This window comes from Homo sapiens, chromosome 2 (assembly GCF_000001405.40).
Source record: "Homo sapiens chromosome 2, GRCh38.p14 Primary Assembly".
NCBI lineage: Eukaryota > Metazoa > Chordata > Mammalia > Primates > Hominidae > Homo > Homo sapiens.
In genome coordinates this window covers 197,538,373-197,558,516 of record NC_000002.12, presented here as the reverse complement: position 1 = coordinate 197,558,516, position 20,144 = coordinate 197,538,373, and the positions used below count along the sequence as shown (strand labels likewise).

The 20,144-nt window shown below is 38.5% G+C and overlaps 2 protein-coding genes and 1 pseudogene across 5 annotated transcripts in view; all 3 read right to left on the bottom strand.

The window, feature by feature from the left end:
• Window positions 1-4,817: 4,817 nt before the first annotated feature.
• The window catches only part of HSPE1-MOB4 (HSPE1-MOB4 readthrough), a 53,321-nt gene continuing 37,994 nt past the window's right edge, over window positions 4,818-20,144 (bottom strand). Inside the window, exons 5-9 of the mRNA NM_001202485.2 lie at window positions 18,364-18,406; window positions 18,080-18,166; window positions 10,102-10,181; window positions 8,131-8,242; window positions 4,818-8,002 (exon numbers count right to left, since the gene is read on the bottom strand). Of these exons, the coding sequence (NP_001189414.1) occupies window positions 7,871-8,002; window positions 8,131-8,242; window positions 10,102-10,181; window positions 18,080-18,166; window positions 18,364-18,406 (454 nt within the window). The 3' untranslated portion in view covers window positions 4,818-7,870. The remainder of the gene's footprint in view (window positions 8,003-8,130; window positions 8,243-10,101; window positions 10,182-18,079; window positions 18,167-18,363; window positions 18,407-20,144) is intronic.
• Window positions 4,818-20,144, bottom strand: part of MOB4 (MOB family member 4, phocein) — a 38,146-nt gene continuing 22,819 nt past the window's right edge. For all 4 annotated transcript variants that reach the window (NM_199482.4, NM_015387.5, NM_001100819.3 and 1 more), the window contains 5 exons: window positions 18,364-18,406; window positions 18,080-18,166; window positions 10,102-10,181; window positions 8,131-8,242; window positions 4,818-8,002 (listed from right to left, as the gene is read on the bottom strand). In NM_199482.4, the coding sequence (NP_955776.1) occupies window positions 7,871-8,002; window positions 8,131-8,242; window positions 10,102-10,181; window positions 18,080-18,166; window positions 18,364-18,406 (454 nt within the window). In that variant the 3' untranslated portion in view covers window positions 4,818-7,870. The remainder of the gene's footprint in view (window positions 8,003-8,130; window positions 8,243-10,101; window positions 10,182-18,079; window positions 18,167-18,363; window positions 18,407-20,144) is intronic.
• On the bottom strand, window positions 15,082-15,141 carry RNY5P2 (RNY5 pseudogene 2; annotated as a pseudogene).

Sequence of the window (20,144 nt, the reverse complement as noted above, 5' to 3'; positions counted from 1 at the left end):
TTAAAAACTTAGCCGAGGCTGTGGTCTCAGCTACCGGGAAGGCTGAGGCTGAAGAGGCTGAGGTGGGAGGATTGCTTGAGCCCAGGAGGTCAAGGCTGCAATGAGCTGTGACTGCCACTGCACTCCAGCCTGGGTGACAGAATGGGACCCTGTCTCAAAAAACAAACAAACAAAACAAAACAGGAAATTCTCCAATATGCTACAAGACAGATGGACCTTGAGAACATTATGCTAAGTGAAATAAGCCAATCACAAAAAGACAAATACTGTATGAATTCACTTAGATGAAGTATCTAAAATGGTCAAATTCGGCCAGGCACGGTGGCTCATGCCTGTAATCCCAGCACTTTGGGAGGCTGAGGCAGGCGGATCACTTGCGGTCAGGAGTTCGAGACCAGCCTGGCCAACATGGTGAAACCTTGTCTCTACTAAAAATAAAAAATTAGGTGGGTGTGGTGGCACATGCCCGTAATCCCAGCTACTCTGGAGGCTGAGGCAGGAGAATCACTTGAACTCGGGAGGCAGAGGTTGCAGTGAGCCAAGATTATGCCACTGCACTCCAGCCTGGGCGACAAGAGCAAAACTCTGTCTCAAAAAATAAATAAAATAAAATGGACAAATACATAGAATCAAAGGTTACTAATCAATGCACACAAAAGTCAAACAAGATGAATAAACTCTAGAGATCTGCTGTGCAACATTATATCTATGGTCAACAATAATGCATTGTACAAACATTTGTTGAGAGTGGATCTCATGTTAAGTATTATTACAATAAATTTTTTTTAAAGATTATACCAAGAACTTAGTTATATACAAATGGATCAATACAAGGAGGATGTAGCAAATGGTAACCTGCAGAAAATGATCCCAAATTCAGTTTTTCAGAGACTTAAATGATGCCTATGTGTTTGGGAGACACGAAGTGGATAACAGGCAGGAAATAAAAAGTCCCACTATAGAGTAAAAATTAAGTCCATAGCATGAACTATGAGATTAACAATGTAAATTTGTGTTTTTTTGTTTTGTTTTGAGACGAGTCTCGCTCTGTCATCCAGGCTGGAGTGCAGTGGCACGATCTTGGCTCACTGCAACCTCCGTCTCCCAGGTTCAAGCGATTCTCCTGCCTCTGCCTACTGAGTAGCTGGGATTACAGGCACATGCCACCACACCCGACTAATTTTTTGTGTTTTGTTTGTTTTGTTTTTTTAAACAGAGAAGGGGGGTTTCACCATGTTGACCAGGCTGGTCTCGAACTCCTGACCTCAAGTGATCCACCCGCCTCGGCCTCCCAAAGTGTTGGGATTACAGGCATGAGCCACCGTGCCTGCCCAGCCTAACAATGTAAATTTGACGGAGGCAAGTGGATCACTTGAGGTCAGGAGTTTGAGACCAGCCTGGCCAATACGATGAAACCCCATCTCTACTGAAAATGCAAAAATTAGCCAGGCATGGTGGCTGTAATCCCAGCTACTCGAGAGACTGAGCAGGAGAATCGCTTGAACCCAGGAGGTGGAGGTTGCAGTGAGCCAAGACCACGCCACTGCACTTCAGCCTGGGTGACACAGCAAAACCCTGTATTAAAAAAAGAAAAAAAAAAGTGAATTTGAGAGGATTGCTGTGTAGACTGAATAAAGGCCCCTAAAATGTCCACATCCTAATCCCTGGAACTTGTATGTTACTTTGCATGGCAAAAGGGACTTTGCAAAAGTACTTAAGGATTTTGAGATTGGGAGATTACCCAAGTGGGCCCAATGATGTAATCACAAGTGTCCTTGTAAGAGGAAGTCAGAAGGAAATACCATCACAGAAGGAAAAGCAATGTGATGATGGAAGTAGGGACTTGAATTATTATGCTGGCAAAGAATGCTGGCAGCCACCAGAAGCTAAAAGAAGCAAGGAAAGAATTCTTCCCTGGAGCCTCTAGAAGGAACCAGGAATTGTATTTTGGCCCAGTAAAGCTGATTTTGAGCTCTGAACTCAGGAAGTGTGACAGGATACGTTTATATTGTTTTAATCTACTAAATTTGTGGTTTACTATAACAGCCATAGGAAACTAATACAATTACTGACATGGTATCTCAACAATCAGAATCCAAGGTCTGCATCTGTTTCATAAAATGTTTTTAAAATGCACCAAAGATTTAAAAAGTGGTTTAAATTTTACCAAAATCAAGGCAAGCATATGATTTATCTATGTATACATATCTGGTTTTAAAAACATAATGACATCTTTCAGGGCAGGTAACTAGGGACTTATTCTCAGAAGTCAAAAAGACCCTACTGATATTATGGAATTGGGTGAAGGGGTATCTCATTTGCTATTACCATAATGACTATACCCACTATTATTTCCTCATCTCTGGAGTTCCCTTGTTCCTTTATCAACTCCCCTCAATCTATCTCTGAGAGAAGTGGGGGATTACTGAATCCTGTTATTCTTGATTTAATCTCTTACTTTTAAAACAAGGAATAAGGCATTTTTTAAAAGAAACCTAGCATTTTCTTGTAGACATTGATGCTAAGGAAAACCAAAAATATTTATTTTTTGAGGTAAGGTCTCACTCTGTCACGCAGGTTGGAGTGCAATGGCACAACCATAGCTCACTGTGGCCTCAAACCACTGGGCTCAAGTAATCCCCGCCAAACCCCTGCCTTAGCCTCCCCAGTAGCTGATACCACCAGTGTGCACCACCATACTCAGTTAATTTTTTAAATTTTTTGTATAGACAAAAATTGGGGTCTCACTATATTGCAAAGGCTGGCTCAAACTCCTAGCCTTAAGCAATCCTCTGGCCTTAGCCTCCCAAAATGCTGAGATTACAGATGTGAGCCACTATGCCCAGTCATCAAAAATATTTAATATCAGCAAATACTTGTAGGGATACAGATAATTATTTTACATAAAGCATACTGTATAAGCATGTTCCTGATACAAAAAAAGGCAGAGATAATACTATAACCTGTAACATAAACTAGAAGTAAATATTTTTAATTGTTATATAAGATATAGGTGGCTCTCATGAGGTCCACCCAAAATAAAATAATAAATATGCTATTTGGCTGGGCGCAGTGGCTCATGCCTCTAATCCCAACACTTTGGGAGGCCAAGGCCGGTGGATCACCTGAGGTCAGGAGTTCGAGATCAGCCTGGCCAAAATGGTGAAGCTCTTGTCTCTACTAAAAATACAAAAATTACTCGGGTGTGATGGTGCGGTGGTGCAGGCCTGTAGTCCCAACTACTTGGAAGGCTGAGGCAGGAGAATCGCTTGAACTTGGGAGGAGGAAGTTGCAGTGAGCCGAGATCACACCACTGCACTCCAGCCTGAGTGACAAAGGAGTGAGACTCCATCTCAAAAAATAAAATAAAAAAAGATAAATACACTACTTATGGAATTAAAAACTGCTTTTAACAAGGTTTATGAGACAAATCCAGATCAGCATATTATCTTGATCTTATGAAAAAATGAACAGTTCACTAGTTTTAAATATTGATGTCACAGTTAATCCTAGAATCATCACTTAATTGACATACTTCATGGATTTAAGTTCACGGTGTCAATTTTTTCTTTTCTTTTTTTTTTTTTTTTGAGATGGAGTCTTGCTCTCTCATCCAGGCTGGAGTGCGGTGGCACAATCTCAGCTCATTGCAACCTCCACCTCCCAGGTTCAAGAGATTCTTGTACCTCAGCCTCCCAAGTAGCTGGGTTTATAAGTGCGTATCACCACACCCAGCTAGTTTTTGTATTTTTAGTAGAGACAGGGTTTCATTTTGTTAGTCAGGCTGGTCTCGAACTCCTGACCTCAGGTGATCCACTGGCTTTGACCTCCCAAAGTGCTGGGATTACAGGCATGAGCCACCACGCCCGGCCAATGTTTTTATCGTTTACAAATTTAGGTTAATACGAAAATTTAGTATTCTCTTTGCTTAATTACATTAGGTGCTCACACTTGATATGAAGCTTTGTGTACTATAAAAAAGTAGGCCGGGTACTGTGGCTCACCCCTGTAATCCCACTACTTTGGGAGGTCGAGCCAGGCTGATCACTTGAGGTCAGAGTTCAAGACCAGCCTGACCAGTATGATGAAACCCCATCTCTACTAAAAATACAAAAATTAGCCGGGCGTGGTGATGCACACCTATAGTCCCAGCTACTCAGGAGCCTGAGGCAGGAGAATCACTTGAACCCAGGAGGCAGAGGTTGCAATGAGCCGAGACTGCGCCACTATACTCCAGCCTGAGTGACAGAACAAGACTCCGCCTAAAAAAAAAAAAGTAGCAGAAAAGTCATACAAATGAAGAGTAAGGCTCCACAATGAACCTATTATTAGATAGGTAATCTAACCCTCTAGAGGATTCACTTGGTAGCTTTCCGGTTTCATAGTGTACTCTATACTAATAATGCATATTTTTTCAGGAAAACAGATTTGAATGTTCTTATCATCTCAAATAAACTGCTAAGCATATTGCACAAATACGTTTTTTTTTTTTTTTGAGACGGAGTCTTACTCTGTCGCCCAGGCTGGAGTGCAGTGGTGCAATCTCGGCTCACTGCAACCTCCACCTCCCAGGTTCAAGCTATTCTTCTGCCTCAGCCTCCCATGTAGATGGGATTACAGGCATGCATCACCACACCTGGCTAATTTTTGTATTTTTTTAGTAGAGATGGGGTTTCACCATGTTGGCCAGGCTGGTCTTGAACTCCTGGCCTCAAATGATCTGCCCACCTTGGCCTCCAAAGGGCTGGGATTACAGACGTGAGCCACTACATCTGGTCCATATGTATTGTCTGTTAACAATGAGATGCTTGAAGAAATAAAAATCAACTACTTTTACTAAAATATTCGCATAGCATGGAAGAACTACACAAAGAAACCTTTAGCACATTCAACAAGGATTCACAAAATAAAGTATATACAATTTAAAATTTAGCTGCTCAAAAAAGATGTCATCATATAGACAGTAGGGCAAAGTACTCACATAAAAAACTTAGTTCTACTATTACAGTGAATTTGACATCAACCAATAAATGTGTTTATAATCGTAACACAGTCCTTACTAACAATGTAATCAAGGATTTTTTTTTTTTGAGACGGAGTTTTTGAGACGGAGTTTTGCTCGTTACCCAGGCTGGAGTGCAATGGCACGATCTCAGCTCACCGCAACCTCCACCTCCCGGGTTCAAGCGATTCTCCTGCCTCAGCCTCACGAGTAGCACCACGCCCGGCTAATTTTTGTATTTTTAGTAGAGACAGGGTTTCTCCATGTTGGTCAGGCTGGTCTCGAACTCCTGACCTCAGGTGATCTGTCTGCCTTGGCTTCCCAAAGTGCTGGGATTACAGGCGTGAGCCCCTGTGCCTGACCAAGGATTTCTAATTGTATTCTGATAGTAAAAGTTGTTAAGTCATCAAGAATTTAACTGAGAAACTGTTCTAGAAATCCAAATTTGACATCTCAAGTCAGAGAAAAGGAAATGTATACACACAAAAGAAGGGTTACTTATGGGAACATAAATAGTTAAAAGTTAGCTACTTTCCCAGATGTGATAGGAGAAAAAGAATGAATTGACTATACGATCTTTTGGAAAGAAAAGCCTAAGTTTACCTTCGGATATACATAGGGTAATTCAAACAAAAAGTGGAGCCTAACTTCCTTATCACACAGAACTGTCTTGTTCCCCTCTTAGAACACTTACTTTTATAAATCAATGGTTTGCCAGGCTCATTAATTTTTTAGTAGTATTTATGTATATATAAGTACATTTTCAAAATTCTGAAAACAGTATTAAGGAAAAACAGGAACTGTTTCACTTAGGTCTTACCTAGTATAGTAGTGAATCAACTTCACAATTAGTAAGATTATCAACATGAATACAAAAGCAAGACTACAAACTGATTATTTTCTTTTGGAGATGTTTTATGATCAATTCCAAACATACAGTACAGGGAAGGTGAAATGAGTAAGAAAAAAAAATCATATTTAAGTCCCCGTTAACACTAAGCCATATTATTCAAAATGTGTTTCAAAATACTCAGCCAGATCACCAAATCTCAGTCACTACCTTAGTATAAATATTCACTAAGAAAATAGTCAAGCAACAGAAATCCATTGTGAGACACCATCTAGAGAGAACAGCTACACTGCTATATATAATTTATTAACTTAGTAGTTTAGTTTCTCAATATTTAGCAAGTTTAAAAATTACCATTACCATTGGTTTATAGTGCCATTAATATAAATCCATAATTTCAAAGTCATCATTCCTTTCACTGTGAACTAAGACTTCTTAAAAGATAGTTGTGGGTTGGGGAACAGTAATGACTGTAGCTGATGGGCAGTGTTCAAAGCCAAAAAGACTGGCAAGCTTGGAAAGGCATACACTATACATACACACACTCTCAGTATACTACTGTTCCCCTTATTTTTGCTGTACATTCTTGTCTGAAAAGATGGTATAAATTATTCCCTTAAATTTGAAAAAACAATTAAGATGAATACATTTTCATCTTCAAAATTATCCTTCTAAATAAAAAAGTTCCTCATGTTTGTTAAATCTGTTCAAAAGTTGGATTTAAATACTTTCTTCACAACATGTACAATGTTTTCACCCTTACTGCCTCATTACAATCAGTTTGGCAATAAGACCTCCAGTGCTTTATCAAAAATGGCATTCAATAGATTATAAGATTGTTAAATCTGCATTTCAATCATTCTTACCACAATGAATTATAACAAAGTCCAAAAAAATGTATGACTATTCATCAACACCCTTGGAACCTATGAATTATTGCAAATAATCTCACACGTGCATGTAATCCAAACATAAACTTCGTGGGAGAGGGGGTGTAAAATAAATACTATGGTATTTCTTCAATTCTATTTAATGCTGCCTAGCTGGTTAAATGAAAGATTAATATATTACTAACAGGAAGAGTCAAACTATTTTAAGGACTGTTTTCTAAGTAGAACAATTTTGCAAAACAAAGATAAGCAAGAGCCTATGCAAATACATTTTCTTGTAGTGTAATGTAATTGCTAATATGAGGTATAATCTGTAAGCAATTAATACAAATATAAATAGGTATAAGCCACCACTAACTCAGTCTGGTGAAAAGCTTCTCAGCTAAAGTAGTTTGAAGATAAGGTTAAGGGAAATGAGAAGGGGTGGACAGGGCAGGTTTCCAGTGGGAAAATAATTTATGTGCCTTACCATTGTGATCATCCTGTATGTACCAGTCCGTTGTTGCAGAACGGTAAATCCTTTCCAAGTATGTTATACTTTATGTAGCACAGTAAAATTATTTAAGTATTACTAATGCTTCATTTGCATTTGTATTTAGATATACACATAATTATATATGCATATCAAAAACTATAAACAGAATTTTAAAACACTTTTATCTCAATTGGGGAAAGTTAACAGGTAAGACAAAACTACGTACTACAGAATTTTTTAGGATATCTAAACTCAAGGTAAAACCAATAGAAAACATTTCTACCTCTTTAGTAAATGGCTTGTGTGAAACCTCAAGCTCTCCCTCATTTTTTTTACAGATGGGTTTGTCTGATGAGGATTGTGATCCAATGATTGTTTAGCAGCAATTTTACCAAACTGTAAATTCTTTTATTAACAGGCATTATAAACAGATAATACTAATCTTATTTAAAAACCATGAGTGCCACACTGGTGAATATACAGCTTATGAATAACTTAAAAAGTATTTCCCATTTTAAAAGGCAAACCCAGCATACAAAAACCTATACTAAACAAAGAAGCTATAATATGGATACATGATTGATGTGTCTAAAATGATATATACAGTACATAATGTTAATTATATGATCAGTACATTTTTCCTATGATTCCCTTCATGCTTCACTTTCCCCAGAAACTGAATTCTGTACTTCCTCTTCTAAAATTGGTACAATCAGGTTATCCTTGGACATCAAATTGTATTTCATCACAAACTTAGTAAACCGATGACACAAAAATGTTTCATTCTGTAGAGAGGAAGACAAAAATGTTATTTTAATTCACTATCCCAAACTAAAAGACTAGAAATAACATCAATATATATTACTGTTACACTGATAAGAATGCATCAAGATAATCAGTGAAATATACTTACTTCATATTCATCAAATATCTGCCGATGATGAAAATAAGCATGTGAAAATATTCTGTAAATCCTACGGCATACTGATCCTAGTTTCGCTACAGATGATTCCTTTATGCTAACCCTAGAAGTAGAAAAGAAACCATAGATTCTTAGAACTGGATAGAATCTTAGGAACAATATAGTCCAATTTCTCGCTTACAAGTGTAGAAACTGACACCTAGGGAAAATAAGCGACTACTCCAAGGTCACACTGCGAGTAAATGCCTGGAGCCCCTGCTCCTCAGTTCTAGGCCAGTGTTCTTTCTACCTAATCACAGGGCCTAACTTAAATTCAGCATTATAGTTTTGAAACTTTGTAAAAGTTTAATGCAGTTAGAATAAATCCCTGACATTTCAAAATTTACTATAACATCTATTTCCAACATTAATACATTGTCCACTAGAGGCGATTGAAAACTCCTGAAAGGAATTATTGTTTTATTTTACAGAACTAGGTTATTCTTTCCTTTTCTTTTCTTTTTTTTTTTTTTTTTTTTAGAAATTAAGGCCAGGTGTGGTGGCTCACGCCTGTAATCCCAGCACTTTGGGAGGCCAAGGCAGGTGGATCATCTGAGGTCAGGAGTTCGAAACCAGCCTGGCCAACATGGTGAAACCCCGTCTCTACTAGAAAATACAAAAATCAGCCAGGCGTGGTGGCAGGCACTTGTAATCCCAGCTACTCATGAGGCTGAGGCAGGAGAAACGCTTGAACCCAGGAGGCAGAGGTTGCAGTGAGCTGAGATTGCGCCACTGCACTCCAGCCTGGTTGAGCAAGACTCCATATAGAAAAAGAAAAACAGAGAGAGAGAAATTAAAATTGTTTTTTTAAAATTGAAATTTTCTGCATATTTCTGATATCCTTTTTTAAAATATGTATACACAGAATATTAAGGTCAAAAGTCAGTATTTTTCTTAACATATTTTATATGAGCTCTTTGAAGCTAATCATATTTGGTGGGGGAAATCTCCAAATCTATCCACCTGGTAACAAATACCTTAATAAAATAAAAGGCAGTCACAAACTTCACCGATAATATATTACATGTACAGACTTCTCAGATCTTAAAAATCAATGAGCAAGGATAAGGAATCCTTCAAAAACAAATAAGAAAGTCTGCTCTTTTTTTTTTGAGACAGTTTCGCTCTTGTTGCCCAGGCCGGAGTGCAATGGCGCGATCTCGGCTCACCACAACCTCTGCCTCCTGGGTTCAAGCGATTCTCCTGCCTCAGCCTCCCAAGTGGCTGGGATTACAGGTACTCGTCACCATGCCCAGATCATTTTGTATTTTTAGTAGAGAAGGAGTTTCTACATGTTGTTCAGGCTGGTCTCGAACTCCCAATCTCAGGTGATCCGCACGCCTCGGCCTCCCAAAGTGCTGGGATTACATCCGTGAGCCACTGCGCCCAGCCAGAAAGTCTGCTCTTTAGGCATACTACATAAAGGGAGGTCGAGTCTAACTAACATAGAGATTCAAGTGAGCAAGTATATACATATCCCAACTCTAAAGCATGAGAGGGAGAGCTCTGCAGAATGACATATATGAACAGGTACTAGCCTTAGACTGAACTGGCCTTGAGCTTTGACAGCCAAGTTCTGCTGTTTAACCACAGTCCTAATTTCAAAACTTGAATAAACAAGCCAAAATACAACAGCTAAAAAAAAAAATACAAAAATGCATTAACGAGCAACCTAATTTTACTTTTAAAATACTAATCTTTTATTTTATTATTATTTATACTTTAAGTTTTAGGGTACATGTGCACAACGTGCAGGTTTGTAACATATGTATACATGTGCCATGTTGGTGTGCTGCACCCATTAACTCATCATTTAGCATTAGGTATAGCTCCTAATACTATCCCTCCCCCCTCCCCCCTAAAATACCAATCTTATAAATTAACTCTAAAATGTTTAACACTATGTTTAAAAGTTTCGATTACCTGCTGGGAAAATATTTATTGCTATTCAGAAGACATGCAGCACCATCAAGTGTGTGTCTAGTATAGTCTATAGCAGGACACTACAAAAGAAAGAATATAGAAATGCATCAACAAAGAGCTCTCTCTTAAGTTAGATATATTCATTATATGGGTATACCTTATTCCAAAGACATGAGCATGTTCTAAGAAAAAAGTTCCTTACAATTTCCGAATGCTTGTAAAATATAATGTTATATTAATAAGTAAGGTTTATTATCCCCTTGAACCATATCACAATTCTAGATGATACATAAACCAGTCTCCCATTTTTATTCCCAACATCGTACCTACAAGAAAACAACAATTACAGACAAGAAGAATCCTGATTTATCTCTGGTATCTCCAGGGATGCCTTCTTATATCCTAAACAATATTCCTTATTATGTCCCTAGCACTCTATTATCAATCTAGCAGCCCTCTAAAGAACTTTCTCCCAGATCACCTTTGAATTTTAACATGAAATATCAAAGTTTCCTTATATTTTAATAAATCTGACTTATTCTGTTCCATTTATCAGAAACAATGAAAAAAAGAAACAATGAAACACTGTCTCATGGCAACTCAGTAAATTTATTAAAGGAAAAATAAAACTGCAAAGTAATTGTCCTCATCCAGTCCTCCTGAGGGCAGACAGGGAGCAACATCAAGGGGAAAGCAGTCTAGAAACAAACCAGGGAGTCAACCAGAAGGAAAAAACAACTAGAGGAAGGAGTAACAATGACTGTAGCTCAAAGACTCTACCCAGTAATTAGGTTATTTTTCAAGTTTGAGACTGAAGCTGTCACTTAGAAATACGGTTTAGTAACTACTAAATATGGCTTAGTGCCGTGGCACTAAAAAATTACCTAATAAAAAAGAAGTATTTTTCTAACAATATATCCACAGGAATTTCTGATTAGTGGACTCCTTGCCAAAAACAGTACCATGAGCAATATTTATTGAAAAAAACTACCTTTCTCCAGATATATGACCACAGATGAGTTGGTCAAAAGCAAATATCCCAAGTAACTGTATTTCTCATATTTGTCATTTGGGTATACCATGAGACAGTTTTACAACCTTTAAACCAGAATCATCAACAGAAATACAGCAGACCCTTGAACAACACAGGTTTGAACTGCGTAAATCCACTTATGCTCAGATTTTCCCAGCAACGGCAAGACCAACCCCACTTCTTTCTCTTTCTCCTCAGCCTACTCAACGACATGAACACAACAAGGAAGACCTTTACAATGATCCACTTAATGAATGGCAAATATATTTTCTCTTCCTTACGATTTTCTTTAAAAAAAAGAAAGAAAGAAGGTCTCACTATGTTGACCAGGCTGGTCTCGAACTCCTGGCCTCAAGCGATCCTCCCATCTCAGCCTCCCAAAGTGCTGGGTTTACAGGCATAAGCCATCACGCCCAGCCCCTTATGATTTTCTGAATAACATTTTCTCTAGCTTCCTTCATTGCAATACACTATATAATACACAGAACATACAAAATGTGTGTTAATCGACTGTTATCGGTAAGGCTTCCAGTCAACAGTAGGCTATTAGTAATTAAGTTTTGGGGGAGTCAAAAGTTAGATACTCAGATTTTCAGCTGCACAGAGGGTTGGGATCCCAATCCCGGAGTTGTTCAAGGGTCAACTGTATAATGCAAGCCATATATTTAATTTTAAATTTTCTAGGCCCAATGTGGTGGCTCACGCCTGTAATTCCAGCACTTTGGGAGGCCAAAGTGGGAAGATCACTTGAGTCCAGGAGTTCAAGACCAGCCTAGGCAACACAGGGAAATGCCCCTATCTCTACAAAAAATTTGAAAAATTAGCCAGACATGGTGGCACTATGATTGTAGTCCCAGCTACCAAGAAGGCTGAGGCAGGAGGATTGCTTGAGCACAGGAGGTCAAGGGAGGTAAGCCAAGATCAGGCCACTGCATTCCAGCCTGGATAACAGGGTAAGATTTCGTCTCAAAAAATTAATTAATTAACTTTCTAAGAGATACATTAAAAAGGGGATAACGTGAGGCCGGGCGCAGTGGCTCACGCCTATAATTCCAGCATTTTGGGAGGCCGAGGCAGGTGGATCACAAGGTCAGGAGATCAAGACCATCCTGGCTAACACGATGAAACCCCATCTCTACTAAAAATACAAAAAATTAGCTGTGCGCAGTGGCAGGCACCTGTAGTCCCAGCTACTCAGGAGGCTGAGGCAGGAGAATGGCAAGAACCCGGGAGGCGGAGCTTGCAGTGAGCCAAGATCGCGCCACTGCACTCCAGCCTGGGCAAGAGTGTGAGACTCCGTCTCAAAAATAAAAATTAAAAAATAAAAAATAAAAAGGTAACGTGAAAGAGGTGAAATTAATTTTAATATTGTAGTTTGACCCACTATATCCAAAATAATACCATTTCAGCAGGTAATTGATATAAAATTAATGGGCTACTTTTTGACTTTTAAGATATAATTGATACAACTAAAATTTACTCTTAAAAATTCAGTAGTTTCTAGTATATTCACAAAATTCTGCAACCATTACCACTAAATTTCAGAACATTTCAGCATCCCAAAAAGAAACCTTGAACCAATTAGCAGTCACTTCCCATTCTCTCCTTCCCCCAGCCCTAAGCAACAACCAACCTAATTTCTGTTTCACAGGATTTGCCTATTCTGGATATTTCATTAAAATGAAATAATATAATAAGTGGCATTTTGTGTCTGGCTTCTATTATGTTTTCAAGGCTTATCCATGGTGTAGTATGAATCAGTACTTCATTCCTTTTTTTAAAATTCAAAACTTTTTAGCCTTTAATGTTTTTAATATATACAAAATGCCGTACTGTATGTTTCTCCCTTTAAGACTTCATTCCTTTTCATGGCTGAATATTATTCCATTGTACACATACAGTCAGCACTTTGCATCTGCAGATTCAACCAACTGCAGATCAAAACTACACTTTAAAACCCCATAACAATAAAAAATAATACAAATTAAGAAATACAGTATAACAACTATTTATATAGCATTTATATTGTATTCAGTATTATATGTAATCTAGAGATGATTTAAAGTATATAGGAGGATGTGCATAGGTCATATGCAAATACTATGCCATTTTATATAAGAGACTTTGGTATCTGTGGTTTTGGTATTCATGGGGGTCCTGGGACCAATCCTCTGAGGCTACTGAGAGATGGCTGCAACACATTTTGCTTATCCATTCATCAGTTGATGGATATTTGGTTGTTTCCATTTTTTGGCTATCATAAATAATGTGACTGTGAATATTCATGTACAAGTCTTTGTGCAGATAAATGTTTTCATTTTGGGGGAACTACATATCAAGGAGTGGAATTCCTGGGTCGTATGCAACTCTATGCTTACCATTTTAAGGAACTTCCAAACTGTTTTTTGAAATAGCTGAAGCATTTTACAATCCCATCATCAATGTTTAGGGGTTCCACTTCACATCCCCGTCAGCACTTGTTATTGTCTATCTTTCCTATTTTAGCCATTATAGTGGGTATGAAAGTATATGCCATTTGGGGTTTTGATGCTTTTTTCTTAACATTTTAAAAAATTGTAGTAAAATATATACACCACAAATTTTTCCATTTTGACCCTTTTTTTTTTTTTGAGACGGAGTCTCACTCTGTTGCCCAGGCTGGAGTGCAGTGATGTGATCTCCACTCAGTGCAAGCTCCGTCTGCAGGGTTCACGTCATTCTCCTGCCTCAGCCTCCCAAGTAGCTGAGACTACAGGCACACGCCACAGCGCCCGGGTAATTTTTTGTATTTTTAGCAGAGATGGGGTTTCACCGTGTTAGCCAGGATGGTCTTGATCTCCTGACCTCGTGATCCGCCCGCCTTGGCCTCCCCAAGTGCTGGAATTACAGGCGTGAGCCACCGCGCCCAGACAGCTATTTTGACCATTTTTAAATGTACAATTTAGTGGCATTAATTTACAATATTGTGCAACCATCTTCACTGTTTCCAACTCTCAAACAGAAACTATTATGGCCAGGCATGGTGGCTCATGCCTATAATCCCAGCACACTGGGAGGCCAAGGCAGGTGGATCACTTGAGGCCAGGAGTTTGAGACCAAACTGGTCAACATGGTGAAACTCCGTCTCTACTAAAAATACAAAAATTAGCCTGGCATGGTGGTGCACGCCTGTTGTCCCAGCTACTCAGAAGGCTGAGGCAGTGAACTGCTTGAAACTGGGAGGTGGGGGCTACAGTGAGGCAAGATTGTGCCACTGCACTCCAGCCTGGGCAACAGAGTGAAACTCCAGCCTGGGCGACAGAGCGAAACTCTTGTCTCTTAAAAAAAAAAAAGAAAGAAACTCGGCTGGGCGCAGTGGCTCACATCTATAATCCCAGCACTTTAGGAGGCTGAGGTGGGCGGATCACATGAGGTCAGGAGTTCGAGGCCAGCCTGGCCAATAGGGTGAAACCATGTCACTACTAAAAATACAAAAATTAGTCAGGCGAGGTGGCACATGCCTGTAAATCCCAGCCACTTGGGAAGCTGAGACAGGAGAATCGCCTGAACCTGGGAAGCGGAGGTTGCAGTGAGCCGAGATTGCGCCACTGAACTCCAGCCTGGGCAAAAGAGCAAGACTCTGTCTCAAAAAGAAAAGAAAAGAAAAAAGTCTATTACCCTTAAGCACTAACTTCCCATACCGCCCATCCTTTGGCAGCTTCTACCTACCTTCAAATGTCTATATGAATTTATTCACTCTAGATAAGTGGAATGCTACAGTATCTGTCCTTTTGCATCTGACTTGTTTCACTCCACATAATACATACTGGATTTTAAAGGTTCATCTGTGTTGTAGCATGTATCAGAACTTCATTCCCTTTCATGGTTTTATAATATTTCATTGTATGTCCATGCTACATTTTGTTTCTCCATTCTCACGGTGGTTTTTTTTTTTCCCTTATCAAGCATGGTTGTGGAGGAGACAATGTTAATCAGCATAACAATAACGCACAACCCTCGCACCAACTGTCTGTGGTTTTGAGATGTGCCTTAATAACTAATGTTGAGCATCTTTTCATGTGCTTACTGGCCATTTCTGAATCTTTTTTTGAGACATGGTCTCTCTCTGTCACATAGGCTGGAGTGTAGTGGTGTGATCTTTGCTTACTTCAACCTTGAGTCCTTGGGCTCAGGTGATTCTCCCACCTCAGCCTCCCTAGTAGCTGGGACTACATGTGCACACCCATCACACTCAGCTAATTTTTTGTATTTTTAGTAGAGATGGGGTTTCACCATGTTGGCTAGGCTGGTCTCGAACTCCTGACCTCAGGTGACCCACCTGCCTCGGCCTCCCAAAGTGCTGGGATTACAGGCGTTACTGTCTTCGAAATCCAGTATTTATTTTGTGTTTACAGCATATTTCAATTTTGACTACCCACATTTCAAGTGCTACACAGCTACATGGGGCTCATGGGTTACCACATCACTGTATCTTTAGACCTTTAACTGGTTTCTGAATTTTTAATTTGGATGACATTTTGCATTGTTTTTAGCTGCCTTCCCTTCACCTTCCCCCAGTTAATTCTCAGGTAACTATTCCTACTCTGTAACAGTTATAACAGCAAAAAATGGCAAAATATAGCAGGTTACAAAATACTATGTAATGGTGTTTACAAATTTTTATGTATTATATTTTTCCAAATATATAATCATAATGCTACTGCAAGTGATCACAATCAGCATGTGACTGTGAGGGCTTGTAGACAGTAAGTTATAATGTTTGTCGCCTAGAAGCACTATTTGTATAATTTACTCTATATGCTGAATGCCTCTCTTTAATTCTCAAGGATACTGAATAAATGATTATTGGTGCTAAGTATTCTGCTGCTCCCACTTCAGAATCTCCCTAGTGATTTTAATCCATGAGAGCAATTTTCTTAGCTTAGTTTGTCAGTTCCTATAGTTTCCTGACTAAGCAGTTATTCAAAAACAGTTCAGAAAGTGTCCTTTCAAATTGTTCTTTTGTTTGTATTTTTACAGTAACTCCACTCAATATAACTACCACTTGGAAATCCTACTATCACCCTCCCTTGACACATGGCCAGTTCAACAGATCTGGACTTCAGCAAGCAATGCTGCAATTCTAAGACTCAATTTACAGGTCTTAATGCTAATGACTATCCTGTCATTTAATATTAATCAAGAAAGAAGTGGATATGAGAATGACAGTATATTTAAGAGTCATAACACATCACAAACTGGATATCACTTCCACTCTAAAGAAAGAATAATACATCATTACTATTTGCCAAAACAAAACTAGCCTTGATTCAGCCTTCTTGATTCAGTTTCCTAATTGCAATAATCACATCATTCACTACGTTAAGTAGCCAACTTCAGTGAATTATCAATGAAACCACTATGTGGATTTTCCCAGATGTAGACAGATACAATCTTTTTATTTTTTTTATTTTTTATTTTTTTTGAGACGGAGTCTCGCTCTGTCGCCCAGGCTGGAGTGCAGTGGCGGGATCTCGGCTCACTGCAAGCTCCGCCTCCTGGGTTCACGCCATTCTCCTGCCTCAGCCTCCCAAGTAGCTGGGACTACAGGCGCCCGCCACTACGCCCGGCTAATTTTTTGTATTTTTAATAGAGACGGGGTTTCACCGTTTTAGCCGGGATGGTCTCGATCTCCTGACCTCGTGATCCGCCCGCCTCGGCCTCCCAAAGTGCTGGGATTACAGGCGTGAGCCACCGCGCCCGGCCGACAGATACAATCTTAATACTGCTTCAATTAATTAACATAAAAATGTGACATCCTGAATGAAACCAGTCTTCCAAATAAGTACTATTCTCTTAGGTATCAAATACTCCTTATTTTGGAGCATTTGTCCTTTTTGAAACAAAAAACATCAGATATTGATTTTGCAACTAGGGCCTCACTTGTCTTCAAGCCTTAGAAGTCTATCAATATAATGACCACTTCAAGGTCTATGATTCTACAGAATTGGCCTAACCCAATATCCCCAGTGAGTCAGTGTCAAGTAAAAAGTAATTATAACAGATTAAATGGGAATACAGATTAAGGGAAAAGCAATGCATAAACAACCCAGATGTAAAGACCATTTTGGAGACAACTAAGGAAAAGTATACTGGGTATCAGATGATATGAAGAAATTTTTTAAATAAGAAAAAGTACAGTAGGCCAGGCACAGTGGTTCACACCTGTAATCCCAGCACTTTGGGAGACTGAGGTGGGCAGATTACTTGAGGTCAGGAGTTTGAGACCAGGCTTGCCAATATAGCAAAACCCCATCTCTACTAAAAATATAAAAATTAGCCCGGCATGATAGCGCATGCCTGTAATCTCAGCCACTTGGGAGGTTGATGCATGAGAATCTCCTGAATCCGGAGACAGAGGTTGCAGCGAACCGAGATCATACCACTGCACTCCAGCCTGGACAACGGAGTAAGAATCCATCTCAAAAAAAAAAAAGAGCAAAACAAAAAACTGCTACTGCCTATAGTCTTACCTTGACAAAAACTAAATAAGGAGAAAAACAACATGAATATTTAAAAGCTCAAAAGTAACATTTCTACTTAAACTAGGCATCAGAGTAATCAATAGTTCTTCCTATCAAAAGAAATAATCTGAACAAAAACCTAAACAGGCGTATCTCAATCATTACACAGTAGATATCAGCACAATGTGACAGATGTTAATCCGTAATAGCCAGTGGATCATGAAGTGAGTTCTAGCCCATGTAATTGCCCAATTATGAAAAATGATGCTTATCATAAGAAATCCTAAAATAGCACTGCAGTAACAACTTCACAACAAGCAACTCAAAATGAAATAGCAAAATGAACAGTGAACTAAAAACCCTAAAAACTTGTCTAACATTGTCTTGAGAGAGATTTAGGCTATAATAATTTTATTAGTTACTCTATTTCATAAATCCTCACCTCTTTTGGAGTTTTATGAGCTGCACAAAGAAAAATCCATTGTTCAGTTGCTGTCATTTGAGTGCAAGTATCTGGATGGCATTCACTCTGTTAAAAATAATTATATTTCTTAATATGTAAAATAATAATGAAAAAGCTTATCATTTAGGTTACTATATTTCCATAATAAATTCTAGAAGAAAGTTAGAAATGTGGATACGTTTTTGTAAGCACATTAAGTTATAAAAACAGAGAAAAAAAAATCAGAACTTTCAATTATAACTTTGACTTAAAGAAAATATTACCTGAAGTTTGACAGCAAGTCCATTTAGCTCAAGGCAGAACTGCCTGAAAATGCAAATACATAAATAAAAAGTCATATCTATTCTTCACAGCAATTTTTAGAATATTAGCTGCAAAAAGAGAATCCCATCAGTATCATCCCTCCTCCCTCATTACCATTCTCAAAACCACCTAAACTGACAATGACACATTTCTTCTAAAGGCTTACAGATTAAAAATAGAAAACCAATAACCCTCATAACATTCAATACCAGAGTTAAGTGAGCTGATCATTCTCTTATATACTAGAAATTAGTACAATTTTTCAGGGAAGTAATTTGGAAATATTTACCAAGACTTTTAGGAAGTGTATACTTTTCGACTAAGTCATTCTTCTAAGAATCTATTGTAATGAAATAATCAGATCTGCATGCAGATAAATGTATAAAGATGTTCACAGGAGCTATATATGCATATGAGAAAATTTCTGAATTGTAGAAAAATTCAGCAACTGGAGGGTAATAAAATGTTGGTACATAGAAACATACAAAGAAATTACAGCAGGGCGCAGTGGCTCAGGCCTGTAATCCCAACACTTTGGGAGGCCGAGGCAGGTGAATCACTTGAGGTCAGGAGTTCAAGACCATCCTGGCCAAAATGGTGAAACTCCATCGCCACAAAAATACAAAAATTAGCCGGGCATAATAGCGGGTGCCTGCAATCTCAGCTATTCAGGAGGCTGAGGAGGGAGAACTGCTTGAACCTGGGAGTCGGAGGTTGCAGTGAGCCAAGATCACACTACTGCACTCCAGCCTGGGAAACAGAGTAAGGCTCCATCTCAAAAAAAAAAAAAAAAAAATTACATTACAATTGCACTGAGGCCATCAGTTTTAGACAGCTATTTGATAAAAAGACAATCTTCTATGTCACAAAGGTAGTTTTACAGCTGTCAAAACACTGAACGTGTTCCCTCCTAAAGTCCTACCTATTAATATTTAGTTCAATGTATCAGGTTAGATAAATCAATACTATGTTTCCCCATCAGAAAAATTGAATCATTTTGGTTCCCAAAACAATGCAAAGCTAACACCTATATAATCAGAAGACAAAAAAAAATCCCCCCAAAAAAGAAAAAAACAGGATATATGTGAACAAATTTGGTGGAAAAACTTCATTTACTTACTTACTGCACATTGTAACAGAGGAAAACAAAAAGGCAAGGGTCAAATTTTCAGTTGTTTGTAACTGCATTTCCTTTCCAGATGCCTAATAATGCTGTCCTTAGATTACAAAAATAACATTATTTCTAAATCACCGTATCACCCTCTACTGTCCCCTATCAAGTAGACTGCATGTTATGTGTTTTTTAGTTGTTTTCCACCAAGTGGTAATAAAGACTGGTTGTGGTAAGTTTCTTACCCAACCCTTTTATAGCCAAAAGCAAAATTAAGTTGATTCAGCAGGGCTGTGGGTATAATCTGTGGCAAATAATGCAAAACTCACAACTTCAAGTTAATTTAATACAGGGCTAACATGTACACAGTTGTGCAGCTGAAGAGACCAACCAGAGCTGGAATCCAGCCTACATTCCAGTCACCACGCATGTATCCGGACATAAAGGAGTACTTTTTCCTAATCATTAAGACTCAATATGAGCTAGTGGGAGATATGACTGAAGTCATGACCCAATCTAAATTAACATCATTATATAATCAACTGCATTAACTAAAAATGGCAAGTATACAGCCTCAAATCAATAAAGGATGTATGCAAAAAAAAAAAAAAACCTCTTCCTGGTCAACTA